General features: G+C 36.2%; 1 protein-coding gene across 15 annotated transcripts in view; it reads left to right on the top strand.

Annotated features, from left to right (window-relative positions):
* Positions 1-25,589, top strand: part of WDPCP (WD repeat containing planar cell polarity effector) — a 721,268-nt gene that overhangs the window by 671,233 nt on the left and 24,446 nt on the right. For 8 of the 15 annotated variants that reach the window (XM_047444629.1, XM_047444627.1, XM_047444626.1 and 5 more), the window contains one exon: positions 16,649-16,680. In XM_047444629.1, the coding sequence (XP_047300585.1) occupies positions 16,649-16,680 (32 nt within the window). Of the gene's footprint in view, positions 1-16,019; positions 16,100-16,648; positions 16,681-25,589 lie in introns of all 15 variants that reach the window. The other 7 variants (NR_148705.2, NR_148704.2, NR_122106.2 and 4 more) reach the window with 1 other exon arrangement.

The following is a 25,589-nucleotide window of genomic DNA, read 5'->3' as shown; positions in this document are numbered from 1 at the left end:
TGCTTATGTAAGTTATTTGATCTTTTTACCAGAAGGCCCTAAACATTTTTTAAATTAATCATTGAAATATAAGAGTATAGCTAGGATATTTCTTGGAGCTGATTGTTCTAATTTTTCTCAGACACCCAAAGTGCACTTTCAGGAAAAAAGTATCGAACTTTTCAAACAAGTATCAAACTTTTCAAAAAAATAAAATATAAGGCAAGGCAAAAGCAGAACTACAGTTTTCAAAAACTCAGTGACTGAAAGTGTGAACCAAGGATAGTATAGTCATCCATGATCTCCTTCAAGTATGAACGCTAAAAGAAACAGTTTTCAATATAGGAAATTCTGTACCCATGAACCCTTCTTGAGGAATACTAGAGGAAGAGTTTCATCTAACCATGAGATGAGTAACAAAGTGTCAGTACAAGGACTGACTATATTTTAATAAATATAAATGTAGGCAGAAGATAAAAGGGGTGGAAGACCCATATACAAATACTGTATGTTAAGTAGAAGTAATACAACTTTAGAAAATGGGAGTGGAACAGAGAGTGAAAGAGTAAGATAGAATAAGCTCACTGATGGTTGTATAGCCAATAGTTGGGAGTTAAAAGAGACAATAAAATCTCATATGCCACATAATAAAAGGTTAACTAGGAAAAGAAGAGACTAAAGGCATTAGAAAAGACACAAGTACAAAGGTAACCACTAGAACAAAACCACAAGCCTTACTAACTACCATTTACTTTTTATTTTTTAAGAGACGGAGTCTCACTGTGTTGCCCAGGCTGGAGTGCAATGGTTATTCACCAGGCACAATCCCACTACTGATTGACCCCCTTTCCAGTCTGGCCCGGTTCACCCCACCTTATGCAACCTGGTGGTCCTCAGCTCCCAGGAGGTCACCATATTGATGCCAAACTCAGTGTGGTACCCAATGGGCATTTTGCAGCCCACAACTCCTGGGCTCAAGTGATAAATAAGTGAGAAGAAAGGAAACACATACCTCAGAGAGAAACACAGCAAATATATCAAAATTCACAAAATTATAAAATATTAGTAAAAGAGTTGAAACCTAGCATATCAGTCATATCAATTGATGTAAATGGACTCACCTCACCTATTAAAAGAAAAAGATTCAATTTGCTCATAAAGCAAGATCCAGCTATGTACTGTAAGAAAGACATACATCTAAATAAAATGATTCAGAAAGGGTAAAAATAAAGGAATGGGGAAAGATATTCAGGCAAATGAAAATAATAAGAAACCAATAGTAACCATACTAATTACAGAATTCAAGCCCAAAAGCATAAAATCCAACAAATAAAAAAAAAATTAATGCAAATTTCACATAGATAAAACACTTAAGAATATTTGTACAACAAATAATATAGAAGTCACCTTTATAAAGGAAAATCTATAAAAGATGCAAGGAGATATAGAGAGATATGAATAATAGGAGATTTTAACTTACTATTCCTTTTTTTTTTTTTTTTTTTTTGGCAGGGTCTCACTCTTGCCTGGCCTGGAGTGCAGTGGCGTGATCATGGCTCACCACAGTCTTGACCTCCTGGGCTCAGGTGATCCACCTCAGCCTCCTGGGTGGCTGGGACAACAGGCATGTGTCACCACATGCAGCTAATTTTTTGTATTTTTTGTAGAGATGGCGTTTTGCCATGTTGCCCAGGCTAGTCTTGAACTTCTGGGCTCAAGTGATCCACCTGCCTTGGCCTCCCAAAGTGCTGGGATTATAGGCGTGAGCCACCACACCCAGCCTAACTCACTATGCTTACTACAGAATAGATCAAGTAGGCAAAAAGTAACAAGAAATAATACCTAAACATAATAATGTAGATATTATGAATATTCATCAAATTCTATTCCTTGATAAAAGAAAATAAGTTTTCTTCCTAAGAATTCATGGACTATTTACAAAAAAGGTATGTTACTTGCTAAAATATATCATTAAATTTCACTAAATATTACAAACACTCTCCAATCACAATGTAATACAACCAGCAATGTTTAACAAGAACCAACATGCCCTTTCTTGTGGAAATTTTAAAACCTTTTATTAAACAATTTTTGGATGAAAGAAGAAATACAACATGAAATTTCTAAGAAGTAATTATAATAAAACACTACATATCAGAATATATGGGATGTATTTAAGTAATAATCAGAGGAAAACTGATACCACTAAGCACTTTTACCAGAAAAAAAAATGAGAAAAGGGAACAATTGTAACTCAAAAGCTTTAAAAAATAACAAGACACTACACCAAAATAAAGCACAAGGAAAGAAATAATAAAGATAAAACCAGAAATTAATGAGGCAGAGCAGGGATTGGCAAACTTTTTTCCTAAATGGCTTCAGTGTAAATATTTTAGGCTTATGGACCATATGTTCTCTGCTGCAACTATTTAACTCTGTTGTAGCACGAAAACAGTCATAGACAATACATAAATGAACCGATGTGGCTGTGGTCCAATAAAACTTTATTTACATGGAACTGGAGAACATTATGTTAAGTGAAATAAGCCAGGCACAGAATGACAAACTTCACATGTTCTCACTCATTTGTGGGAAGCTAAAAATTAAAACAATTGAACTCATAGAGATAGTGAATATAATAATGGTTACCAGAGGCTGTGAAAGGTAATTGATGGCGGTGGGGATGGTTAATGGGTACAAAAATACAATCAGATAGAATGAGTGAGATCTAGTATTTGATAGCACAACAGGGTAATTACAGTCAACAGTAATTTATTGTATATTTTAATAAAAATAAATAAATGAGTATAATTGGAATGTTTGTAACACAAGGAAATGATAAATGCTTTAGGTGATGGACACCTCATTTACCCTGATGTGCTTATTACACATTGTTTACCTATATCAAAATATCTCATGTACAGCCAGGCACGGTGGCTAATGCCTGTAATCCCAACATTTAGGGAGGCTGAGGCAGGCAGATCACTTGAGGCCAGGAGTTCGAGACCAGCTCGGCAAATATGGCGAAACCCTGTCTCTACTAAAAATACAAAAAAATTAGCCAGGCGTGGTGGAACACGCCTCAGGAAGAGTGAGGCATGAGAATCGCTGAAACCCGGGAGGCAGAAGTTTTAGTGAGCTGATCGCGCCCCTGCACTCCAGCCTGGGTGACAGAGCAAGACCCTGTCTCAAAAATTTCATGTACCCCATAAATATATACACCTACTACGTATCCAACAAATTAAAAATTAGCCAGGCACGGTGGCTCATGCCTGTAATCCCAGCACTTTGGGAGGCCAAGGCAGGCGAATCACGAGGTCAGGGGTTTGAGACCAGCCTGGCCAACATGGTGAAACCCCGTCTCTACTAAAAATACAAAAATTAGCCAGGTGTGGTGGCATGCACCTGTAGTCCCAGCTACTTGGGAGGCTGAGGCAGGAGAATTGCTTGGACCCGAGAGGCGGAGGTTGCACTGAGGCTAGACTGCGTCATTGCACTCCAGCCTGGACGACTGGGCTAGACTCCGTTTCAAAATAAAAAAATTAAAATTAAAATTAAAAAAAAGAAATTTACAAAGCAAAAAACAAAACAAACAAAAAACTTTATTTACAAAAACAGGCAACCAGTCCATAAGCCATAGATTACTGACACCTCAGGTAGAAGACAAAGAACAAAACAAAACAAACAAACAAAAAACTGTAGTAAGATATCAAATCCAAATGTTTTTGAAACAACAAAATGGACCAACTTGATCAAAAAAAGGAGAGAAAACAAAACATACAAAATTAAGAAATGGCAGAGGGAGGAAGGGAGAAATTAACCATTTAAACAAGGGAGGGTTTTTTCTTTTTAATCATAAGAGACTACTTCGCAAATTTCTATGCAAATGAATTTGAAAACTTAGAAAACAATAGATAACATACTAGATAAATACAGATTGCCAAAAGTGTCCACCACTGAATTTAGAAATCTGAAGCACACCAATTTTCATAAAAGAAATAGACAAGATTATTAAGAAATTACCCTGTAAAAGAGCAAAAGGCCCAGATGACCAGGTAGAATTCTACCAAAACCTTCAAAGATCAGATATTCTGAATGCTCTATAAATTATTCCAAAGCATTGAAAATAAAGAAAAACTTTTCCACAGAAAAATGACAAGCCAATATCATTCATGTAAAAAATATTAAGTAAAATATTAGTGAAAAAAATCCAACACTTGGATCCACCCTGAAAATACAAGGTTGTTTTAGTGTTACCAAATCCATTAATATCATATACCATATTAATAGATCTAAGGTTGATAAAAATCATACAATTATTTATATAGATGTTGAAAATGCCTTTGACAAAATTCAGCTCAATTCAGCTCCCAGTCCTGATGAAAACACAACAGGAATTGAGGGACACTCACTTTACGTAAGAAAAACAATATATTTTTTAAATTCTCTTTTAAAGTTTCCACTTTGTCTCTTACATAGTGTCACATATCTTAAAAGATTTGAAAGTGATTCTTTTTAAATTCATTCCACCAATCTCTTCCTTTTAATTGGAGGGTTTAATCCATTTATTATTAATGTAATTACTAAATAAGTCAGGATTTACATCAGTCATTTTGCTGTCATATTCTACATTCCTTGTAGCTATTCCTCTATTCCTCACTTATTGCCTTCTCTTGTGTTAAGTAGGTATTTTAATACCCTTGTAATTTCTTTGGAGGATTTTTCTTTTGTGGTTCACCTGATGATTATAAATCTTAATTTATAACAACTTAGTTTGTTTTAATATCAATTTAACAACAATAGTATATAAAAACTTTGCTCCTGTATTGCTCCATTCCTCTCTCTTGCTCCTTTGTGTTGTTATAAATTACGTCTTTATACATACACATTTGTGTGTAATAAAGCCTTAAACATTATATTGGTTTGTCCTCACATTCTTATAAAGAAATACCTGAGACTGGGTAATTTATAAAGAAAAGATGTTTAATTGGCTCACTCTTACTCAGGCTGTACAGGAAGCATGATGCTAGCATCTGCTCAGTTTCTGGGGAGGCCTCAGGAAACTTATAGTCATGGCAGAAGGCAAAGGGGGAGCCAGCACTTCACATGGTCAGAGCAGGAGGAATAGAGGGGTTTGGGGGGAGGTGCCACACACTTTTAAACCACCAGATCTCATGAGAACTTACTTGCTATCACAAGAACAGCACCAAGGGGACAGTGCTAAGCCATTCATGAGAAACCACTCCCACGATCCAATCACCTCCCACCAGGTCCGACCTCCAACTCTGGGGATTACAGTTTGACATATCTAATGTCAAATTTGATTTGGTGAGGACACAGATCTAAACCATGTCAGACACTGTATAAACAAAATGAATGATCCTAGGACTAAATTAAAAATAATTAGATTAGGTACAGCCCTAAACTAGTTCTTGTATTTCAAATAAGTCAACTTCTCTGGTTGCCTCAATTTTCTCATTTGTATTAGATTATCCTTTCCAAGGTCTAAAATTATTTATTGTAGAACAAATAAACCTTGTATTTGCAGTAAATATATCTACTTTGATATTTACAGCTAGAAATTAACTACAATACTGGTTGGTTTCCTGCTATTATAATGAACCAGTATTGAATTCATACATAAGAAACTCCAAATGAAATACTATCTTGTTAAAAGTTGTTAAATTTTGGCGTGATTTTATTTGATTCATGTCTAAGCAGTTTTCCTTTAAGTTGGAACAAACCAAAAATACTGATCTATTCAGAATCCTGGTGTGTGCCTATAAACAATATAATGGATGAAAATTTTCAGTGTTTACAAAACAAAGAAATTGTCAACAGAATGCCTGGCAGTAGACTTACCAGAAAAAAAAAATTACAGCCTATAATTCATGAAGATTGGCTCAAAACAAACTGTCCCTGCCAACAGAAAATCTGACAATTATTCTGTTGTCTAATTTGGCTCAGCCTAAGTTGACCTTGTTTATTCATCTCAGTCTTTTAATTCTTGTTAACTTGGCATGAGAGGAGAACATATGGCATATGTCTAGGAGTCCATTTCTGTATCTTAAACTGAAATAAATGTAGAATATACTAAGCATTTCCAGTGTGTTGAGCTCTTAAGGTAGCTTTAATGTATATTACATAAAACTGTAAGTTCATATTGTGCCCACCAGGTGCTTTATGTTTGCTGCCTATAAAACCAGAAACTCACTAGAGACATCCTTTTCTAAGCCTTGGTATATGATTAAATGTGTCTAATTTTAAACATCTTTCCAAAGAAGATAAACAATCTTAAGCTCTTTTAAAACATAAAAATGAAAGGGTATAATCAATTTGGCAATCTAAAGATGTTTACACGTTTTCACTGACTCTATAGCTATTTTTAAGAAAACTGATAATGTGAGAAAGACAATGGGAGTTGAAGAACAAAAAGATTTCCATTTTCTCTCCAGCTTAATCTGGCCTATTTTCTTAGTTTCTTTTTCTGATCCACTAAAGCTTATTGAGTAAGAGAAGTTATATTTTATTGTGGCTTTAATATGTCTCAAGAAAAGCTGGAAGGAAATGAGCTGCTTTATAGATTCACAGCTCTTTTATGGAACTGCAGTTAGTTCTCCAGTACCAGAACTAGACAAATGAAAAACTTAGAAAATCTAAGGCACCAAAATTTATGTATTTTAAGAAGTGTTTTCACTTGGAATGTTTCATTTTCTTTTTAGTAACTAAGTCAAATGAGGTATAATTTCATGTATAAAGCCTTATCTATATTACATATTTTGAAATCCTTAACCTTTATTAGTGGACTTTATGTGACATTTACTATTTGCATAGTACTTTTATCCCACAAAGCTCAGAGCATTCAAACTTCATAAGTTGCATTCAAAGATATAATTTTTTAACTACAGGGGTTCCTAATTACCCAAATATTCATTATCTGAGACCCTGTAGTTATGAGTTTACATAGAACAATAGTCCTTATAACATGAAATATTTAATAATAAGTTAACTACTTGTAAACTCAGTCCTCTCCCCATTCAAATATCCCTCCTCAGTGAAGACTAGCATTTATCCCCACCTATGAAATATTAGTTTATCAGTATTTTCACTGATTGTCAGCTCTTTAAATACCCAACACAGCAATACAAACATATTTCAAAACAACTAAAAATCTTGCAAAAACAATGTTTCATGAAGTCAATGAAAGAGATGTTACAGAAATGTCCAGATCTCATGTAAAACTATTGATAAATCAGGAAAAGGAACTTAGACCAATTAAAAAGAGAAATTCAACAAGAATAATAAAACTGCAAATGAATTTATCAAAGTATTAATAGAATCCCTCAGAAAAGTGATTAAGTCCTTGAATATTTTTTGAAAAAAAAAATGGTCCTCTTTCTGAACTTGCATGCTGTGCAAGTCGAATATGAAGTTAAATATGCCATATCATACTGTAAGACAATTTGGTCAGAAAAAGTAGACCCATTCCCCACTCTCCAGATCAAACTGACTGACTTTGTTCCATCTAAGAATTTACGCACAGATGGCTGGGCACAGTAGCTCACGCCAGTAATCCCAGCATTTTGGGATGCTGAGGCACACAGATCACTTGAGGTCAGGAGTTCAAGACCAGCCTGGCCAACATGATGAAACCCCACCTCTACTAAAAATAAAAATACAAAAATTAACTGGGTGTGGTGGCACATGCCTGCAGTCCCAGCTACTCAGGAGGCCGAGGCAGGAGAATCGCTTGAACACAGGAGGAGGAGGTTGCAGTGAATTGAGATCGTGCCACCGCACTCCAGCCTGAGCAACAGAGCAAGACTCCGTGTCAAAAAAAAAAAAAAGAAAAAAATGAATTTATGAACAGTTGAAATTACAACATATATTTTATTAATACAAGTAAAATAAGCTTATCTATATATTTTTACCTCTTATTTTTAGTCAAATTATATTGTCACCATTTATTATGATTTTCAACCCCAGTTTAAATTGATTCACTTTAAGGGGCTTTTTTTGTTTTATTTTCTGAAAGCAGTTATTCTCAGATATGGACCTCCTGCAGCTTTGTTAGTGAATAATGAAATATTGAAGTGTGTGTTTCAAAATCATGAAATATTGCCATTGCAGAACAGCCAGAAATGTCCTTTTCACTATTTCTTTGGGTCTATTTATTATCTCTGTGCCATATTCTTTGAATCTAGGTTCACATACCTTTCTGTGTCAAGAAGGAGTGACAAAAAGGTTAAGAAATTCAGACTTTCAGAGAGGGAATTATGGAAAGTGAAAAGCACATAAGGAATATGGCGCCATTTATATATATATATGCAAAAATTATAACTAAATAATAGATGCTTTTGTCTTTGGTGTTTCCTGCACAACTGAAAATGGAGCTAGACAAGGGTACTGAACTGCCTTCTGCAGATATGGCAGAGGCCCAGAAAATTCCTTAAGTATGCCCTGACTCACTTCCACAGCATCATGTAGTATTTTCCTTACAGACCATATCTATTAACTATGGTTCAACGTACATCAAGCTTTGTATGCTTCTTCCCACAGATACACTGCATATCTGGAACAAGGGAGAAGAGCACATGTCATCTGCAAATCCCCTATATTTATACATTTTTATTATTTTGCTTTCTTACTTATGGTTCTATAAGCAAATTTGGGGAAATTGTTGCTTTGTGTCCCAAGTAATGCATAGTAGATGGTGCTGTGGGCTTCCTATTACATCACAACATGAGATATATAATGTATTTTAGTGAAGCAAAGACTGATTAATGGAATTCTCCATTATAAACTTCCCCATCAACCTTTCACCTGATGTTTTTTAAATCACTGATGAACATTGCCTAGATTATTTTATTAGGGGTTGTGAAATGATGATTTTCTAATTTTGTAACTCCTTCTGCATTTATAAGTTTGAGTACTTCTATACATAATAAAAGTTTCCTTATCAACTATTCAGTTACCTCGAAAGGCAGAGTAAATGCTTGATAACTTCCCTAGATTTATCAGTTTTTAGGATAATAAATTAACCCAGCAACCCCCAGTAGTGGCCACTGTTTGGGTAGTAGGGGAGGGGAGGTTCATATGGATTTTTAAATATCATTTGATGTATTTTAATGAATTGTGGTCAATATTCTTTGTGATAGTCAAATTTGTAAATCAGTATCAATCTTTCAGAAACTAATTTTAGCAACATATAACAAAAGCCCAAAAATGCCATAACTTTAAATTTCATTTTTGTAATATAAACATAAAAATGTTAATCACATTGTTATTGTATAAGTGAATGACCTAAAAATATATGTGGGGAATTAATGACTAAATTACAGTATATCTAAATAACAGATACTATATACTCACTTAAAAATCACGATTATCAGGTTCTGGTTCCTGGTAAGATGGAGTAAGCACATTCCTCCTGTCTCACCCATTGAATGCAGCTAAAAATCCTAGGTAGAATATATTGGAGCAGCTGTTTGGGGAGTCTGAAAAGTAAATAATACAGAAGAAATAAGGACGAAGACAAGAACTTAAGGTGCCTCTGAACCTATGGCAAGTTTACTAGTGTGTTTTCCTTTAGTTCACCACCACTTGGGCCTAGTCAAGTGCAACCATGGAGGTACATGGAAGCATAAGATAACTAAAGATGCAGCTTCCTGGATCCAGAAAGCACCAAAGGAGATTGCAGACATGAAAGCTTGTGAAAACAACCCCATTAAATTGTTTATAAACTCCAGGGCTTACCCCAAGGTATGCATGTGTGGATCTGATTCTAACCAGTATATAAAAGACTTTGAGATCTAAACTGATAGATAAACTATCACCCAGGTTATATATTTGCTACTGGATGGTACACACACTGACAGCACTGCAGATATCACCAAATAGCACGACAAACAGCCCTGCAAAGAGGCTTTGAAAAGTAAACTGACATACCATAGCTCACAGAGGAACACTGTAACTTGAAGCCTAAACATAAGATAATTGCTTGCTAAAACAAAAATAACATTCATCACAGAATTTTAACAAGATCAAGTCTTAAAATACTCAAAATGTCCAGGATACCAAAAATTACTTGATATATAAAGCGGCAGGAAAATCTCAACTCACATGAGAAAAGATTAGTAAAAGACAATAATGCTGAGATGACAAATGTTGGAATTATCTGACAAACTTTAAGGAGCTCCAACAATCATTAAAATTACTGAAACAAGCCAGGCATGGTGGCATGCACCAGTAGTCCCAGCTACTTGGGAGACTGAGGCAGGAAGATCACTTGAGCCCAGGAGTTGGAGGGTAGCCTAGGCAACTAGTGACACCTCATCTCTTTAAAAAACCAACAAACAAAAAAAAACCCAAGTATCAAAAAGAAATAGAAGGTATAAAGAAGAAACAAATAAAGAATTCAAAAGTAAATTAACCAAAAAAAAAAAAAAAGTTTTTTTTTGAGATAGGGTCTCATTCTGTCTCACAGGCTAGATTGCAATGGTGCAATCACAGCTCACTGCAGCCTTAACCTCCTGGGCTCAAGCGATCCTCCTGCCTCAGCCACCCAAAGAGCTGGGACTACAGGGGCATGCCGCCACACCCTGCTAATTTTTGCTTTTTTTTTTTTTTTTTTTTTTTTTTGTAGAGATGAGGTTTTACCATGTTACCCAGGCTGGTCTCGAACTCCTGAACTCAAATGATCCAACCACCTCAGCCTGCCAGAGTGCTGGCATTACAGGTGTGAGCCACCATGCCTGGCCCCCACAAAATTTTTTAACTCATTGATAGGTTTGATAATAGCAGAATAGAGATAACAAAGGGAAGTCAATGAACTTGAAGACAGATCAATTGAAAGTATCCAATGAACAACAAAGAAAACATATTTTTTTAAAAAAATGAACCGAGGGACCTGTGAGGCAATGCCAAAAGGTCTAACATTCATGACATTAGAGCTGTAGAAGGAGAGGATAAAGAATGCAATGCTGAAAAATATATATATACAAAGAATACCTGAAAACTTCAAATTTGGTGAAGGAAAACTTAGTAAATATGTTTCCAGTAGATTTGTTACTAAAGAATTACTAAAAGTTCTTGAGACATAAGGTAAATGATACCAGAGGGAAACTTGGGACACCAGCAAAGAAGGAAAAGATGATAAAAGAGCCAATTTATCAAGAAAGCATAACAATTCTAAATGTGTTTGCATCTGACAAGAGAATGTCATAATATATAAGAAAAAATGATAGAGATCACAATGGGAACAGACAAATCTACATTTGCATTTGAAGACTGCATCAGTCCTTTCTCAACAACTGATAGAACTAGTGACAGAAAATCATTCCACCCAGAACACACATCCTTTTGCACGTGAACATTTACCAAAACAGACCATATCCTGGGTCATAAAACAAACCTAGAAGAATATACAAAGTATGTCCTCTGACCATAATGGGAATAGATTAGAAATAAATAACAGAAAGAAATAGAGAAAATTCTCCAAACGCTTAGAAATTAACAAACTTCTAAATAATCCCTAGGTCAAAGAGATGGTCTTAAGGAAATCAGAAAAGATTATAAACTGAAAAAAAAAATCACAGCTTAAAATAAGAATTTTACTCAATTAAATGCTTATATGAGAAAAGAAGAAATGCCTCAGTCAACAATCTAAGCTTCCATCTAAACAGACTAAAGGAAGAAAAGCAAAGTAAACTCAAAGGAAGCAGAAGAAAGGAAATAATAAAGAGCATATATCATTGAAGTTGAAAACAAAAAAATTAATGAAGTCAAAAGCCTGTTTGAAAAGATCAACAAAATTGAAAAAACTCTAGTCAGACAAAGAGAAAAAGAAGACATAGATTATTGATATCAGGAACGAAAGAGGGTACATTATCTTAAACTTTACCGACATTAAGTAGATAAAAAATAATGTCATGAACTACTGTATGCAAATAAGTTTAACAACATAGTTTGAATGGAATAATTCCTTGAAAGCCACAAACTACCAAACTGGCAGAAAATGAAAGAGATCATCTGAATCCTATGGCTATTAAAGGAATTAAATTTGTAGTTTAAAACAAAACAAAAAACTCTGTAAAAGAGATCTCCAGGTCCCGATGGTTTCACTGGTGAATTCGTTGAGAGAAAAATATACTAGCAATTGTGCACATTTCTTTCAGAAAATATGAGATGATAATTCAACACATCCCAGCTCATTTTCTGAGGCTATTACCCAAAGACAGTACAAAAAAAGATATCAAGCAGTCCCATGGAATTTTTTACAAAACGAAAGAAAAAAAAGTACAAAAAACTATAGACTACTGTCTCTCATACATATAGAAGTAAAAATCCTCAACAAGGATTAAGAATTTAGTAATATATAAAAATAATAGTATACTAGAATTAAGTGGGATTTACCTTGGGAATGCACAGCTTATTCAATATTCAAAAATTAATGTAATCCACAATTTTAGCAATATAAATAAGAAAAATCAACTGATCAAATCAACTGGTACAAAACGCATGTCTGACAAAATTCCATACCCATTCATAATTAAAAAAAAAAAAAAAGCCCAGAAAACTAGGAGTAGAAGGGGGCTTCCTCAAACTATAAAGAGTTTCTACCAAGAAGGAAAAAGAGAATACTACAGCTATTATCCTACTTGATAGAGAAAGACTGAATGTTCTCCTCCTAAGATTGGAAACATGGTAAAAATGTCCACTTTTACCACTCTTATGGAACACTGTACTAAAGAAGAAATGAAACCATCCCTTTTTGCAGACAAAATGGTTCCTACAACTAATAAGTGCATTTAGCAAGGTCACAAGATATATGGTCAACACATAAAAATCAATTGTATTTCTTTTGTTTCTTTTTTTTGAGACAGAGTCTCGCTCTGTCACCCAGGCTAGAGTGCAATGGCACGACCTCGGCTCACTGCAACCTCCACCTCCCTGGTTCAAGCAATTCCCCTGCCTCAGCCTCCCTAGTAGCTGGGATTACAGGTGCATGCCACCACGCCTGGCTAATTTTTTTGTATTTTTAGTAGAGATGGGGTTTTACCATGTTGGCCAGACGGGTCTCGAACTCCTGAACTCAGGCGATCTGCCTGCCTCAGCCTCCCAAGGTGCTGGGATTACAGGCATGAGCCACCGCTCCCGGCCCAATTGTATTTCTATATACTAGTAATGTACAATTGAAAACCAAAAAAGCTTTTTAAATTACAGTAGCTCCAAAATAAAAGAAATACTGTGTTATAAGTCTAACAAAACATTCCATCTGTATGCTAAAAACTTAAGAAGATTAAAATAAATGGGCCTGGCATGGTGGCTCATGCTTGTAATCCCAACACTTTGGGAGGCCTAGGAGGGCGGATCACATGAGGTCAGGAGTTCGAGACCAGCCTGGGCAACATGGTGAAACACCGTCTCTGTTAAAAATAAAAAAAAAATTAGCCGGGTGTGGTGGCACACGCCTGTAGTCCCAGCTACTCGGGAGGCTGAGGCAGGAGAATCGCTGGAATCCGGGGGGCGGAGGTTGCAGTGAGCCAAGATCCCGCCACTGCTCTCCAGTCTGAGCAACAGAGCGAGACTCTGTCAAATAAATAAATAAACAAATAAATAGACGTGTTTACGGTTTGGACTCAATATAGTAAAGATGTCAGCTGTCTCCTGACTAATCTAAAGATTTCTGATTAATCTAAAGATTTGATAAAATTCTGATCAAAATCCCAGAAGGATTTTTTAAAGATATCAACAAGCTGATTCTAAAATTTATACAAAGAGACAAAGAAGCTAGAATAACAAAAAACATTTTGAAAAAGGAAAATAATGTTGGAAGGATCATACATGATCTTAGGACTTTTGCTAAAGCAGGGGTTGACAAACATTTTCTGTGAAGGGCCATTTAGTAAAGATTTTTGGTTTTGCAGGTCACATAGTCTGTCACAACTACTTAACTGTCATCATAGCAAGGAAGCAGCCATAGATAATATAAAATGAAGGTGTTCCAATAAAACTTTATTTACTAAAATATGTATGAACTGGATTTGGCCTAGGGACTGTGGTTTGCCATCCCCAAAGCTATAACTAATCAAGAAATTACAGTATTAGTAAAAGGACAGACACACAGATTAATGAAACAGAACATATAACCCAGAAATAGACCCATATAAATATGCCCAGCTGATTTTTGACAAAAGTACAAAGGTAATTCAATGGAGAAAGGATAGTTTTTCAACAAATGGTATTGGCACAATACACATCTATGCACACACAGACACACAAAGAATCTCAAACTAAACCTCACACATTACTCTCAAAAATTAACTAAAAATAAATCATAGATCTAAATATAAAATGTAAAACTATCAAACTTTTAGAAGAAAGCATAGGAGGAAATATTTGTGACCTGGGATTAACAAAGAATTCTCCAACTAGACACCAAAAGCATGATCCATTTTAAAAAAATTGGTAACTTCATCAACTGTTGTTCCTCAAAAGGCACTATTAGGAGCCTGAAAAGACAAGCTACATGATGGGAGCAAATATTTGCAAGTCACATATCCAGCAAAGGAGTTGTATCCAGAATATATACAGAACTCTCAAAGCTCAACAGTAAGAAAACAAATAGCCCAACTACAGTGGTCAAAAGACTTGGACGGACATTTCAATAAGGAGATATATGGATAGCAAACAAATAAATTTAATATCATGAGCTATTTGGGAAATTGAAATTAAAACCATGATGAGATAGATACCTCTGTACACCTATTAGAATGTCAATAATTTTTAAAAATACTGACAATTCCAGGTGCTGGTGAGGATGATGCAAAGTAACTGAACTCTCATTCATTGTCGCATGAAATGTAATATAAAATGGTACAACTCTTCTGGGAAATGGTTTTGCAGTTTCTTATAAAGTTAAACATGTATTCACCATATGATTCAACAATCCCATTAAGTATTTACACTAGAAAAGTAAAAACAGGTTCACACAAGAAACTGTACATGAATGCTTGTAGCAGTTTTATTCATAATTTTCAAAAACTGAGAAAAATACCCTTCAACAGGTGAATAAATAAACTGGTACACACATCTGTAATGGAATACTGCTCAGCAATAAAAAGCAGTGAACCATTGATACACGTTTAACAACTTGGATGAATATCAGGGCATTATACTGAATGACAGAAGTCAGTCACAAAAGTTTATATGGTATAATTCCAATCATACAACATTCGTGAAGTCAAAACTATAGTTATGAAGAAGATATCTGTGGTTGCCAGGGTGTATAGGTTGAGGGGGTGTGACTATAAAGTATATAAGGGAGGGTTTTTTGGCATGATGAAACTGTTCTATATTCTGTTTGTAATGGTAATAACAGGAATCTAAACATCTGTTAAAATTCACAAAACTCTATACCTTAAGAAAGTCAGTTTTAACATATAAACAGTACAAATTTTAAAACAAAAAAAAATAAGTGAAAGATGATGACATGAAATTTCACAAGACCACATTATCTCAGTTTTATTTTTTTAAAAGATACATAATAATAAGTAGTGGAGCTAAATATCCAGAGAACAACTCTGGATATTTATATTATTCTTTTTCTATGTTTTGGTGGGGGGTTTTCTACATCAAAAGTGAATTACTTTTACAAGTTTATAAAACTTCATCATTCATTTTAATTTTGTAATAACCATGAGTTCAGAGCATCACATTTGGTTTCCATGATTGTTTCTCTTAAAACTTCATATGTAAAATACATTATCTGTATGTTAAAGTTTAATTTAACTGCTCTTTGAAATGTCCGGTAAAATATTTAATGGTGGAAAAATTAAAAGTGGCTTTCTCTGTTTTTAAATATAATGGTATTTAAATGATTACTATATTGTTGAAAGTTTCCAAAGAAATTTTTTAATTACATTTTTTAACCCAGAAACTTTAAAATATTTTAATACTTTAAAATCTATAACTTATACCTAACCTTAAAATTTTCTTTTTTAATCCTTTTTCCAATTAAAAACACCCATATACTGCAGACAAATAATTGACAGAAGGAATGAACTTGAAAAAGACATCTGTTCTGGATTTTTGATGACTAATACCTGTAATGCAGAAGGTAATGGTATTCAAGACACCCAAGTATTCAAAGTATAACAGAAAAACTATGTTATAGCTTGCAAGAACTTTCAGTAAATTAATAAAAATAAGAAAACTCTGAGCATTTCTAGTTGGTATAAGACTGCTTGTCATTGATATAAAATACCAAGTTGCCTGATTATTACAAAGGTGAAATTTCAATGATCATACAAATAAATATAGATAAATTTGGAGATCTTGTTAAAAAGTTGATTCTGATTCAGTAGATCTGGGCTGGAGCCTATGGCTCTGCATTTCTAATAAGCTCTCAAGTGATATGCTGCTAGTATATACTATAGTATATACTGTACATAGTAAATACTGTAATGCAAGGTAGCCATACACATATATATGAAAATGATTGGCACTTTCATACTATGTTAAGGTTTGGTTTTTTATTTCTCTAGAGTTCTCAGCATTGTAACTTGTTATTATTTTAAGCATTTCTGTTTTTAGTGTTGTAAAAAAATTTTCTTAAGGTCCATTATTAGACTTTTAAGATAATTAATGTTTTAATCTTTTACTTTAGACGGAGAACTGAGAGAAGACGGCAGAGAACAGGTAAAACACTTTCTCTGTTTATTACTAGACATTTAAATTCTAAGAGAAAAGCATAATGTATGTGATTATTTTGAACTCAAGAAATGCTATCTATTGGTCTACATTAACTGGACTACATTAACTAGATTAACTGGTCTATATTAACTACACTAACAGCTTCTAAAAAACTATTCAGCTTTTCAGTATTCCCAAGTTGTAATTATTATTTAAAAGCTATTTTAAAATAAAATTGTGCATAACAGAGTAGGTACAAATGAAATTACACATCTTCAAGTTGACTCAAAATGATTCAGTAGGGAGAAAGTAGAAGGGATATAGGTGAATTAAGAGTAACCAGATGTTGGCAGGGCGCGGTGGCTCATGCCTGTAATCCCAGCATTTTGGCAGGCCGAGGCAGGTGGATCACTTGAAGCCAGGAGTTTGAGACCAGCCTGGCCAACATGGCAAAACCCTCCCTACTAAAAATACAAAAATTAGCCAGGTGTGGCGGCTGCACCTGTAATCCCAGCTGCTTGGGAGGCTGAGGCATGAGAATTACTTGAACCCAGGAGGAAGAAATTGCAGTGAGCCAAGATCATGCCACTGCACTCCAGCCTGGGTGACAGAGCAAGACTCTGTGTCACAGAAAAAAAAAAAAAAAAGAGTAGCCAGGAGTTGATAACTGATGAAGCTGGGTAGCGGGTAATACAGCAGTTTGCAAATGTCATTCTCTCTTTGGTATATGTTTGAAATTATCCAAAGTAAAAAATTTAAAAATAAAAGGTGTATAATAATGATTAAATTATTCAATATATTTTATTACATATAATTTTTATAAATAATGCATATAAAATATCACATCTGACAGGTAGTTCTGAACCCTTCTCCCTCTCTGTCTCTGACATCGCATCTCAGTTCATTTTGAGAGGAAATAGCAATTCCCTGTTATACCAATTACAGAAAGGCTAGGATTTATTGTGAGACTTGAGTCTGAATGATAGTCCCACAATTTCTAGCATTATAACTTTGGGCGAGTCATTTCATCTCTCTAAGCCTCAACTTCTTCATTCCTAAAATAGAGATAATGCCACACACTCCACGGGATTTTTATGAAGCTCTTTTGTGAACACAAATGTGATAGGACTTTGCTAATTATATGGAACTATACTAATGATAGTAATGGTCAATATCATTGCTTCAATCTACTTCTTTCTGGACATACCTGCATTGAAAATAAAAATAATAATCTTTATTTGCTTGGAGGGAAATACGCCATATTACAGTTGAATATACATGCCTAAGAATTTGTTTAATTTGCGAAAGCTTCAAGAAACTTTACCATAAATTGTATATATTTTAAATAGCTTATTTTTTTAGAATACTTGTTTTAAAAAAAGAACAACAACAACAACATCCTGGCCAGGTGCAGTGGCTCACACCCAAGCACTTTGCGAAGCTAAGGAAGGTGGATTGCATAAGCCCAGGAGTTCGAGACCAGCCTGGACAACATGGCAAAACCCCATCTCTACTAAAAACACAAAAAGTAGCCAGGCACAGTGGCGTGTACCTGTAGTCACAGCTACTCAGGAGGCTAAGGTGGGAAGATCACTTGAGCCCAGGAGCTGGAGATTGTAGTGAGCTGAGATCACACCACTGCACTCCACCCTGAGCAACAGCAGAGTAAGACCCTGTCTTGAAATAAGCAAACAAACAAAAAAACAGCATCCTGTCACAACTTTACAGACACATCCACTTGGATAAACAAGTGTACATGAAATTCAATCAAGAAACTGACTTCCCAAGGATCTTTCTGGAAGGGTCTTTATAGAGAATAAGGGAAATATCAGTTTGTGTACTAAAGTATAGGATGGTTTTTGTAATGTAATCTGTCACAACACTGAGTTCAGTTACTAATATAGCTTAAATTCAGATTAGCACTAACTCATATACACTTTATGTTCAGTGCTCTGGTTTCTTGTTTAGAAATTGCTATTAAGTACAGATAAGATACAGATTATAACAGGCTGTCATTGTTTGCAAAGTCTTCTTGTGAAATTTCCACATGCTACATTTTAAAGTAGGGTTTCTGCATATGTGTGTCTTTGCATAATTTTCTATTGCTATAATAACTATTTTTCAACATATTTCTCTTAATCAACTTTTTTCTCAACCAATTGAATATATTCAACAAAAATAATAATAAAACATTATTGTTAGAATTTATCAAGTACTTCTTATTTGTCTGGTTCTGGACTCAGTACCTTATGTTTTAATTCAGTTAATTCTCACAACAAACCTATGAGATGGATACTACTATTAGCCTCATATAAACAATGATACTGAGACATAGAGATTAGTAATTTCCCATAGTCTCCCAGGTTGTAAAGTGCAAAGCTGGAATTCAAACCCAAAGAGTCTGGCTCTTAGAACAGGGTTTCTGAACCTTAGCGCTATTGACATTTTGGGCCAAATAATTATTTGCTCTTGGGCTGTCCTGTGCATTGTAGGATGTTTAGCAGCAATCCCTGGCCTCTGTCTACTGAATGCCAGTAGTTTCCCAACCCCAGTCACGGCAACCAAATAACTCTCCAGACATTGCCAAATGTCTCCTGGGGGGAGGAAGATAGTAAAAAGTCATCCTTGGTTAAGAACCACAACCCTAGAGAAACCCCTATATGACATCACCTCTCTGAAAGCCACACATACAAAAATATGGAAAGCCAGAAAACAAAATAAAAATCACCTTCATCCCACCATTGAGAGAAAAATCATTAACATTACCGGTACCTTTGAAGTCCCCTGGGTGTCCCTCCTCAATTACATTTCTTCTTCCATCTACTCTCAGTCTTAAATTTTGTCTTAACCATTCCTTTGCTTGTCTTTATGGTTTTCCCATATGAGGCAAGTTCCATAAATAAAATCTTTTTTTTTTAAGAGAAAGAGTCTCACTCTGTCACCCAGGCTGGAGTGCAGTTGCATGAATACAGCTCACTGTAACCTCAAACTCCTGGGCATAAGCAGTCATCCCACCTCAGCCCTCTGAGTAGCTAGAATTATAGGTGCATGCCACCATGCCTAGCTAATTTTGGGCTTTTTGTAGAGACAGGGTCTTGCTATATTGTTGGTCTCAAACTCATTTAACAACTTGTTTAGTTTTACTTCTTTCTGAACTTTATATAAGTGGAAACATAGTGCATTCTTCTTGTTACTTACTTTTTTCACTAAATATTATTTTTGAATATAGCCATGCTGACATATGTAGATGTAGGTATGTTCATTTTCACTGCCTATAGTATTTCACCGACTGAATACAATTTATTCATCCACTACTCAGTTTATTCATTCTTCTGTTAGTGGACATTTATGTTGATTCTAGCTTTTTCTATTACAAACAGGGCAACTATATATTCCTAGGGTATATACTTAGGAGTGAAATTTCTGGTCACAGGCAATACACATCTTTAATTTTAATAAATAATTCCAAATATTTCCTAGAGTAGTTTTGCCAATTTATATTTCCACTAAACAAGTATAAGAGTTTCCATTTCTCCACATCTTGCTAATACTTAAACACTCAGGTTTTTAAATGTTTGCCATCCCTAGTAGCTGTGTAGTGGTTTCTCATTGAGGTTTTAATTTGTATTTGCCTGATTAATAATGAGGTTGAACATCTTTTCATATGTTTCTTGTCATCTTGTTTCTTCTTCCTTGAAATGCCTATTCCTATGTTTTACTCATTTTTCCACTGAGTTCTTTGCCTTTTTCTCACTGATTTGTAGTAGTCTTTATATATTTTAGAAACTAATCCTTTGTCAGTGTTACAAATAACTCCTCCCAAGTTGTTGCTTATCTTTTTCCTGTCTTTGTGGTTGACGAAAAAAATTTTTGACTATATTAAAGACAAGAATGCACCATTATACCTTTATGGTATGCTTTTATATCTTGTTTAAGATGTCCTTCCTTATTTCCAATCTCATACAGATAATCTCCTTTTATTAAAGTTTTTACCTTTCACATTTGTCTTTAATCCATTGGGGTTTGGGATGTGTGTGTGTGTGTGTGTGTGTGTGTGTTGGCTCCTGTGTCCTTTTAACCCTATTAGTCTTTGGCAGCAGCTTAACTTTTATGGCATGAGATGTCCCAGACTCATCTTGTAAATTCCTTGTAAATTCCCTGTCTTACACCTAGAATCTACTATTTCTCCATTTCTTCTGTTTTCTCTGGGTTAATCTTGGCTTTTAGACTTTTTTAGTGGACAGAAAAGAAAATACTTTTTTTTTTTTTCTCAGCCAGGAGTAGTGGTTCACACCTGTAATCCCAGCACTTTGGGTAGTGGGTGGATCACGTGAGGCCAGAAATTCAAGACCAGCCTGGTGAACATGGTGAAACCCTGTCTCTACTAAAACAAAAACAAAAACAAAAACAAATATTAGCTGGCGTGGTGGTACACGCCTGTAATCCCAGCTACTCGGGAGACTGAGACACAAGAATCGTTTCAACCCAGGAGGCAGAGGTTGCAGTGAGGAAAGGTCATGCCACCGCACTCCAGCCTGGGCGACAGAATGAGACTCTGTCTCAAAAGGAAAAATGAAAAACTTTTTTTTTCTTGATACAGTGTCTCATTCTGTCACCCAGACTGGAGTGCAGTGGTGTGATCACAGCTCACTGCAGCCTTAACCTCCCAAGCTCAAGCCATCCTCCCACCTCAGCCTCCTGAGTTGCTGGGACATTTTTATCAACTCTCAGGAATCAGCAACAGAAAGACATTAATTGGTATCTCCAGTCCAGGCTTCATCCCAGGCTTCAAACTGATAATACCTACAAGCCAATGTTAAAATAACTGTTCCTTCTAGGAAGTTCCATACCATCTTGTACTTTTCCTATCACCATAAATATCACTTTTTATTATAACTCTGGTTTAATTATCTCCTTCACTAGGCTGTAAGTTTTTTTTTTTTTTTTTTTTTGAGACAGAGTCTTACTCTGTCACCCAGACTGCAGTGCAGTGGCACGATCTTGGCTCACTGCAACCTCTGCCTCCGGGTTCAAGCACTTCCCCTGCCTCAGCCTCCCAAGTAGCTGAGATAACAGGCACGTGCCACCACTCCCAGCTAATGTTTGCATTTTTAGTACAGATGAGGTTTCACCATGTTACCCAGGTTGGTCTCGAACTACTGAGCTCAAGTGATCTGCCCACCTTGGCCCCCCAAAGTGCTGGGATTACAGGCATAAGCCACCGCACCCAGCCTATTAGGCTGTAACTTTCTAAAAGGCAGTATCTGTATCCATTTTGCTCAACATCTTACTGTTAGCAACAGACATGGAATTCTATCGTGAATGTTTTTAAAATAACGTAGGCAAAAATGCATGGATAAAGAAGTCTTTGACTAGATAATATCCAAAACATAAGATGTCTTAAACTAAACTCATCATTTTCCCCTCAAACTCCAAACTTGCTCCTCCATATGTGGTCTCTGTCGTTCTTGATTCTCTATAACCCACTTACAATTAATCCAACCAATCAAATTCAATTGATTAATGCTCCTAAATATTTCTAGAAACTAGCCCTATAACCATTGGAATTTAGGTTAATCAATCATCTTCACTTGGAGTACTGCTTCCTAATTATTATCTTTGTCTTTAGTCTATACCCACTACCACCACCACCACCTCCTGAAATCTAGCCTCCACAATGCTGCTAAAGTAACCTACCTAAGTATCATTCCCCTCCCTAAAACCCCATAGGATAAAGTCCAAGCTCCTTATCATGGTGTATAAGACTCTCCATTAACTAACCTGTGCTTTCCAGTTTTATTTCCTGCCACTCTTTACCTCAAAGAGTCTGAGTTACTTCATTCTTACATCCCTAATACTTATTATATCACTTTGAGCACTATAGGTGTCACTAAATGTTGACTGAACCAAACTAGACCTATGCAGGCTTAGGTACCTTCTCAGTAACACTAGTTTTACCAAAATTTTATTATGAAAAGTTTTAAATATACAGTAAAGTTCTAAGAAGGTACAGTAAACATCCGTATGCCCACTATTTGGATTCGACCATTAATGTCTTACAATAATTGCGTTATCACTTATCTGTCCATTAACCTGTCCCTTTATCAATCCATCTTATTTTTTTCAACTTTTATTGCATTGAAACATCTTATTTTTGATACATTTCAAAGTAAGTTGCAGATATCCATACACTTCGCCTCTTTAGCCACTTTAGCATACATATCATTAACATGTTAAAAACTCTCGGCCGGGAACAGTGGCTTACGCCTGTAATCCCAGCACTTTGGGAGGCCGAGGCGGGTAGATCACGAGGTCAGGAGATCAAGGCCATCCTGGCCAACATGGAAACCCCATCTCTACTAAAAATACAAAAATTAGCTGGGCATGGTGGCGTGTGCCTGTAGTCCCAGCTACTCAGGAGGCGGAGGCAGAGATTACAATGAGCTAAGACTGCACGACTGCACTCCAGCCTGGGCAATACAGCAAGACTCTGTCAAAAAAAAAAAAAAAAAACACGCTCTCAATAAACTAGGTACTGAAGGAACATACCTCAAAATAATAAGAGCCATATATGACAAACCCATAGCCAAAATCATACTGAATGGGCAAAAGCTGGAAACATTCCCCTAGAAAACTGACACAAGACAAGGATGCCCTCTCTCACCACTCCTATTCAACAGAGTATTGGAAGTTATAGCCAGAGCAACCAGGCAAGAGAAAGAAATAAAGGGCATCCAAATAGGAAGAGAGGAAGTCAAACTATCCCTGTTTGCAGACAACATCGTCCTATATCTAGAGAACCCCATAATCTCAGCCCAGAAGCTCCTTCAGCTGATAAACAACTTCAGCAGTTTCAGGACACAAAACCAATGTACAAAAATGACTAGCATTCCTATACACCAACAATAGCCAAGCCAAGAGCCAAATCAGGAACACAATCCCATTCACAATTGTTACAAAAAGAATAAAACACCTAGGAATGCAGCTAATCCAAGAGGTGAAAGATCTCTACAATGAGAACTACAAAACACTGCTCAAGGAAATCAGAGATGACACAAACAAATGGAAAAACATTCCATGCTCATGAACAGGAAGAATCAATATTGTTAAAATGGCCATACTACCCAGAGCAATGTATAGATTCAATGCTATTTCTATTAAACTACCACTGAGATTCTTCACAGAACTAGATAAAAACTACTTTAAAATTCAGGCCCTTTTCTTTTGCAGCTGGGAGGCAGGTAGCCCAGGACAAGTTTTCAAGCCCATCATGCCCTCTGCCTGGAAAAAGACTCAGGACTGTTGTTGGGGGGCATGGTGGGAGTGAGACAGGCCCTTCAGTTTGCATGGGAGCTGGGTGAGGCCAGTGACTGCCGGCTTTCCCCTACTTCCCTGAGAAACTGCATTTCTCAGCAGAGGCAGCCATAATCCTCTTAGGTACCCAACTCCAGTGACCTGGGGATCTCACCCCCATCCGCCACAGCAGGCACAGCAAGACCTGCCCAAGGAGAGTCTGAGCTCAGACATGCCTAGCCCCACCCCCACCTGATGGTACTTCCCTATCCACCCTGGTAGTAGAAGACAAATGGCATATAATCTTCGGAGTGCCAGGGCCCCACCCACCACTGGTCCCTCTCTATATTACTACAGCTGATGCTTTCTGGAAAGCGCACCTCCTGGCAAGAGTCCAACCAGCCCAAAAATAGAGCATTAAACCACCAAAGCCAAGAACCCTCACGGAGTCCATCACACAGCCCTGCCATCTCCACTGGAACAGGCACTGGTATCCATGAATGAGAGACCCATAGATGCTTCATATCACAGGACTCTGTGCAGACAACCCCCAGTACCAGCCTGGAGCCAGATAAACCAGCTGGGTAGCTAGACCCAGAAGAGAAACAACAATCACTGTAGTACAGCTCACAGGAAGCCACATCCATAGGAAAAGGGGGAGAGTACTACATCAAGGGAACACCCTGTGGGACAAAAGAACCTGAACAGCAGCCTTCAGCCCTAAACCTTCCCTCTGATAGAGCCTACCCAAATGAGAAGGAACCAGAAAACAAACCCTGGTAATATGACAAAACAAGGCTCTTCAACACCCCCAAAAAATCACACTAGTTCAGCAGCAGTGGATCCAAATCAAGAAGAAATCCCTGATTTACCTGAAAAAGAATTTAGGGAGGTTAGTTATTAAGCTAAAGAGGGATGGACTAGAGAAAGGTGAAGCCCAATTTTAATGCGAGGAAATCCAAAAAGTGATGCAACAAGTGAAGGGAGAAATATTCAAGGAAATAGATAGCTTAAAGAAAAAACAACCAAAAAATCAGGAAACTTTGGACACACTTTTAGAAATGTGAAATGCTGCCCAGGCATGGTGGCTCACCCCTCTAATCCCAGTACTTTGGGAGGGTGAGGCGGGCAGATCACAAGGCCAGGATTTTGAGACCAGTCTGGCCAACATGGCGAAACCCCATCTCTACTAAAAATACAAAAATTAGCTGGACAAAAATACAAAAATTAGCCAGGGAATCACTGGAACCCAGGAGGTGGAGGTTGCATTGAGCCATTGAGCCGTGCCACTGCACTCCAGCCTGGGTGACAGGGCGAGACTCCGTCTCAAAATAAAATAAAATAAAATAAAATAAAATAAAATAAAAAGGGTAAATGCTCTGGAAAGTCTCACCAATAGAATTGAACAAGGAGAAGAAAGAAATTCAGAGCTCGAAAACAAGGTCTTTGAACTAACCCAATCCAACAAGGTCAAAGAAAAAAGAAGAAGAAAATATGAAGAAAGTCATGAAGAAGTCTGGGATTACGTTAAACAACCAAACTTAAGAATAATCAGTGTTCCTGAGGAAGAAGAGAATTCTAAAAGCTTGGAAAACATATCTGGGGGAATAATCAAGGAAAAC

Source organism: Homo sapiens, chromosome 2, assembly GCF_000001405.40.
Source record: "Homo sapiens chromosome 2, GRCh38.p14 Primary Assembly".
NCBI lineage: Eukaryota > Metazoa > Chordata > Mammalia > Primates > Hominidae > Homo > Homo sapiens.
Note: the sequence above shows the minus strand (reverse complement) of the source record. Positions and strands in the feature narration are given on the sequence as shown.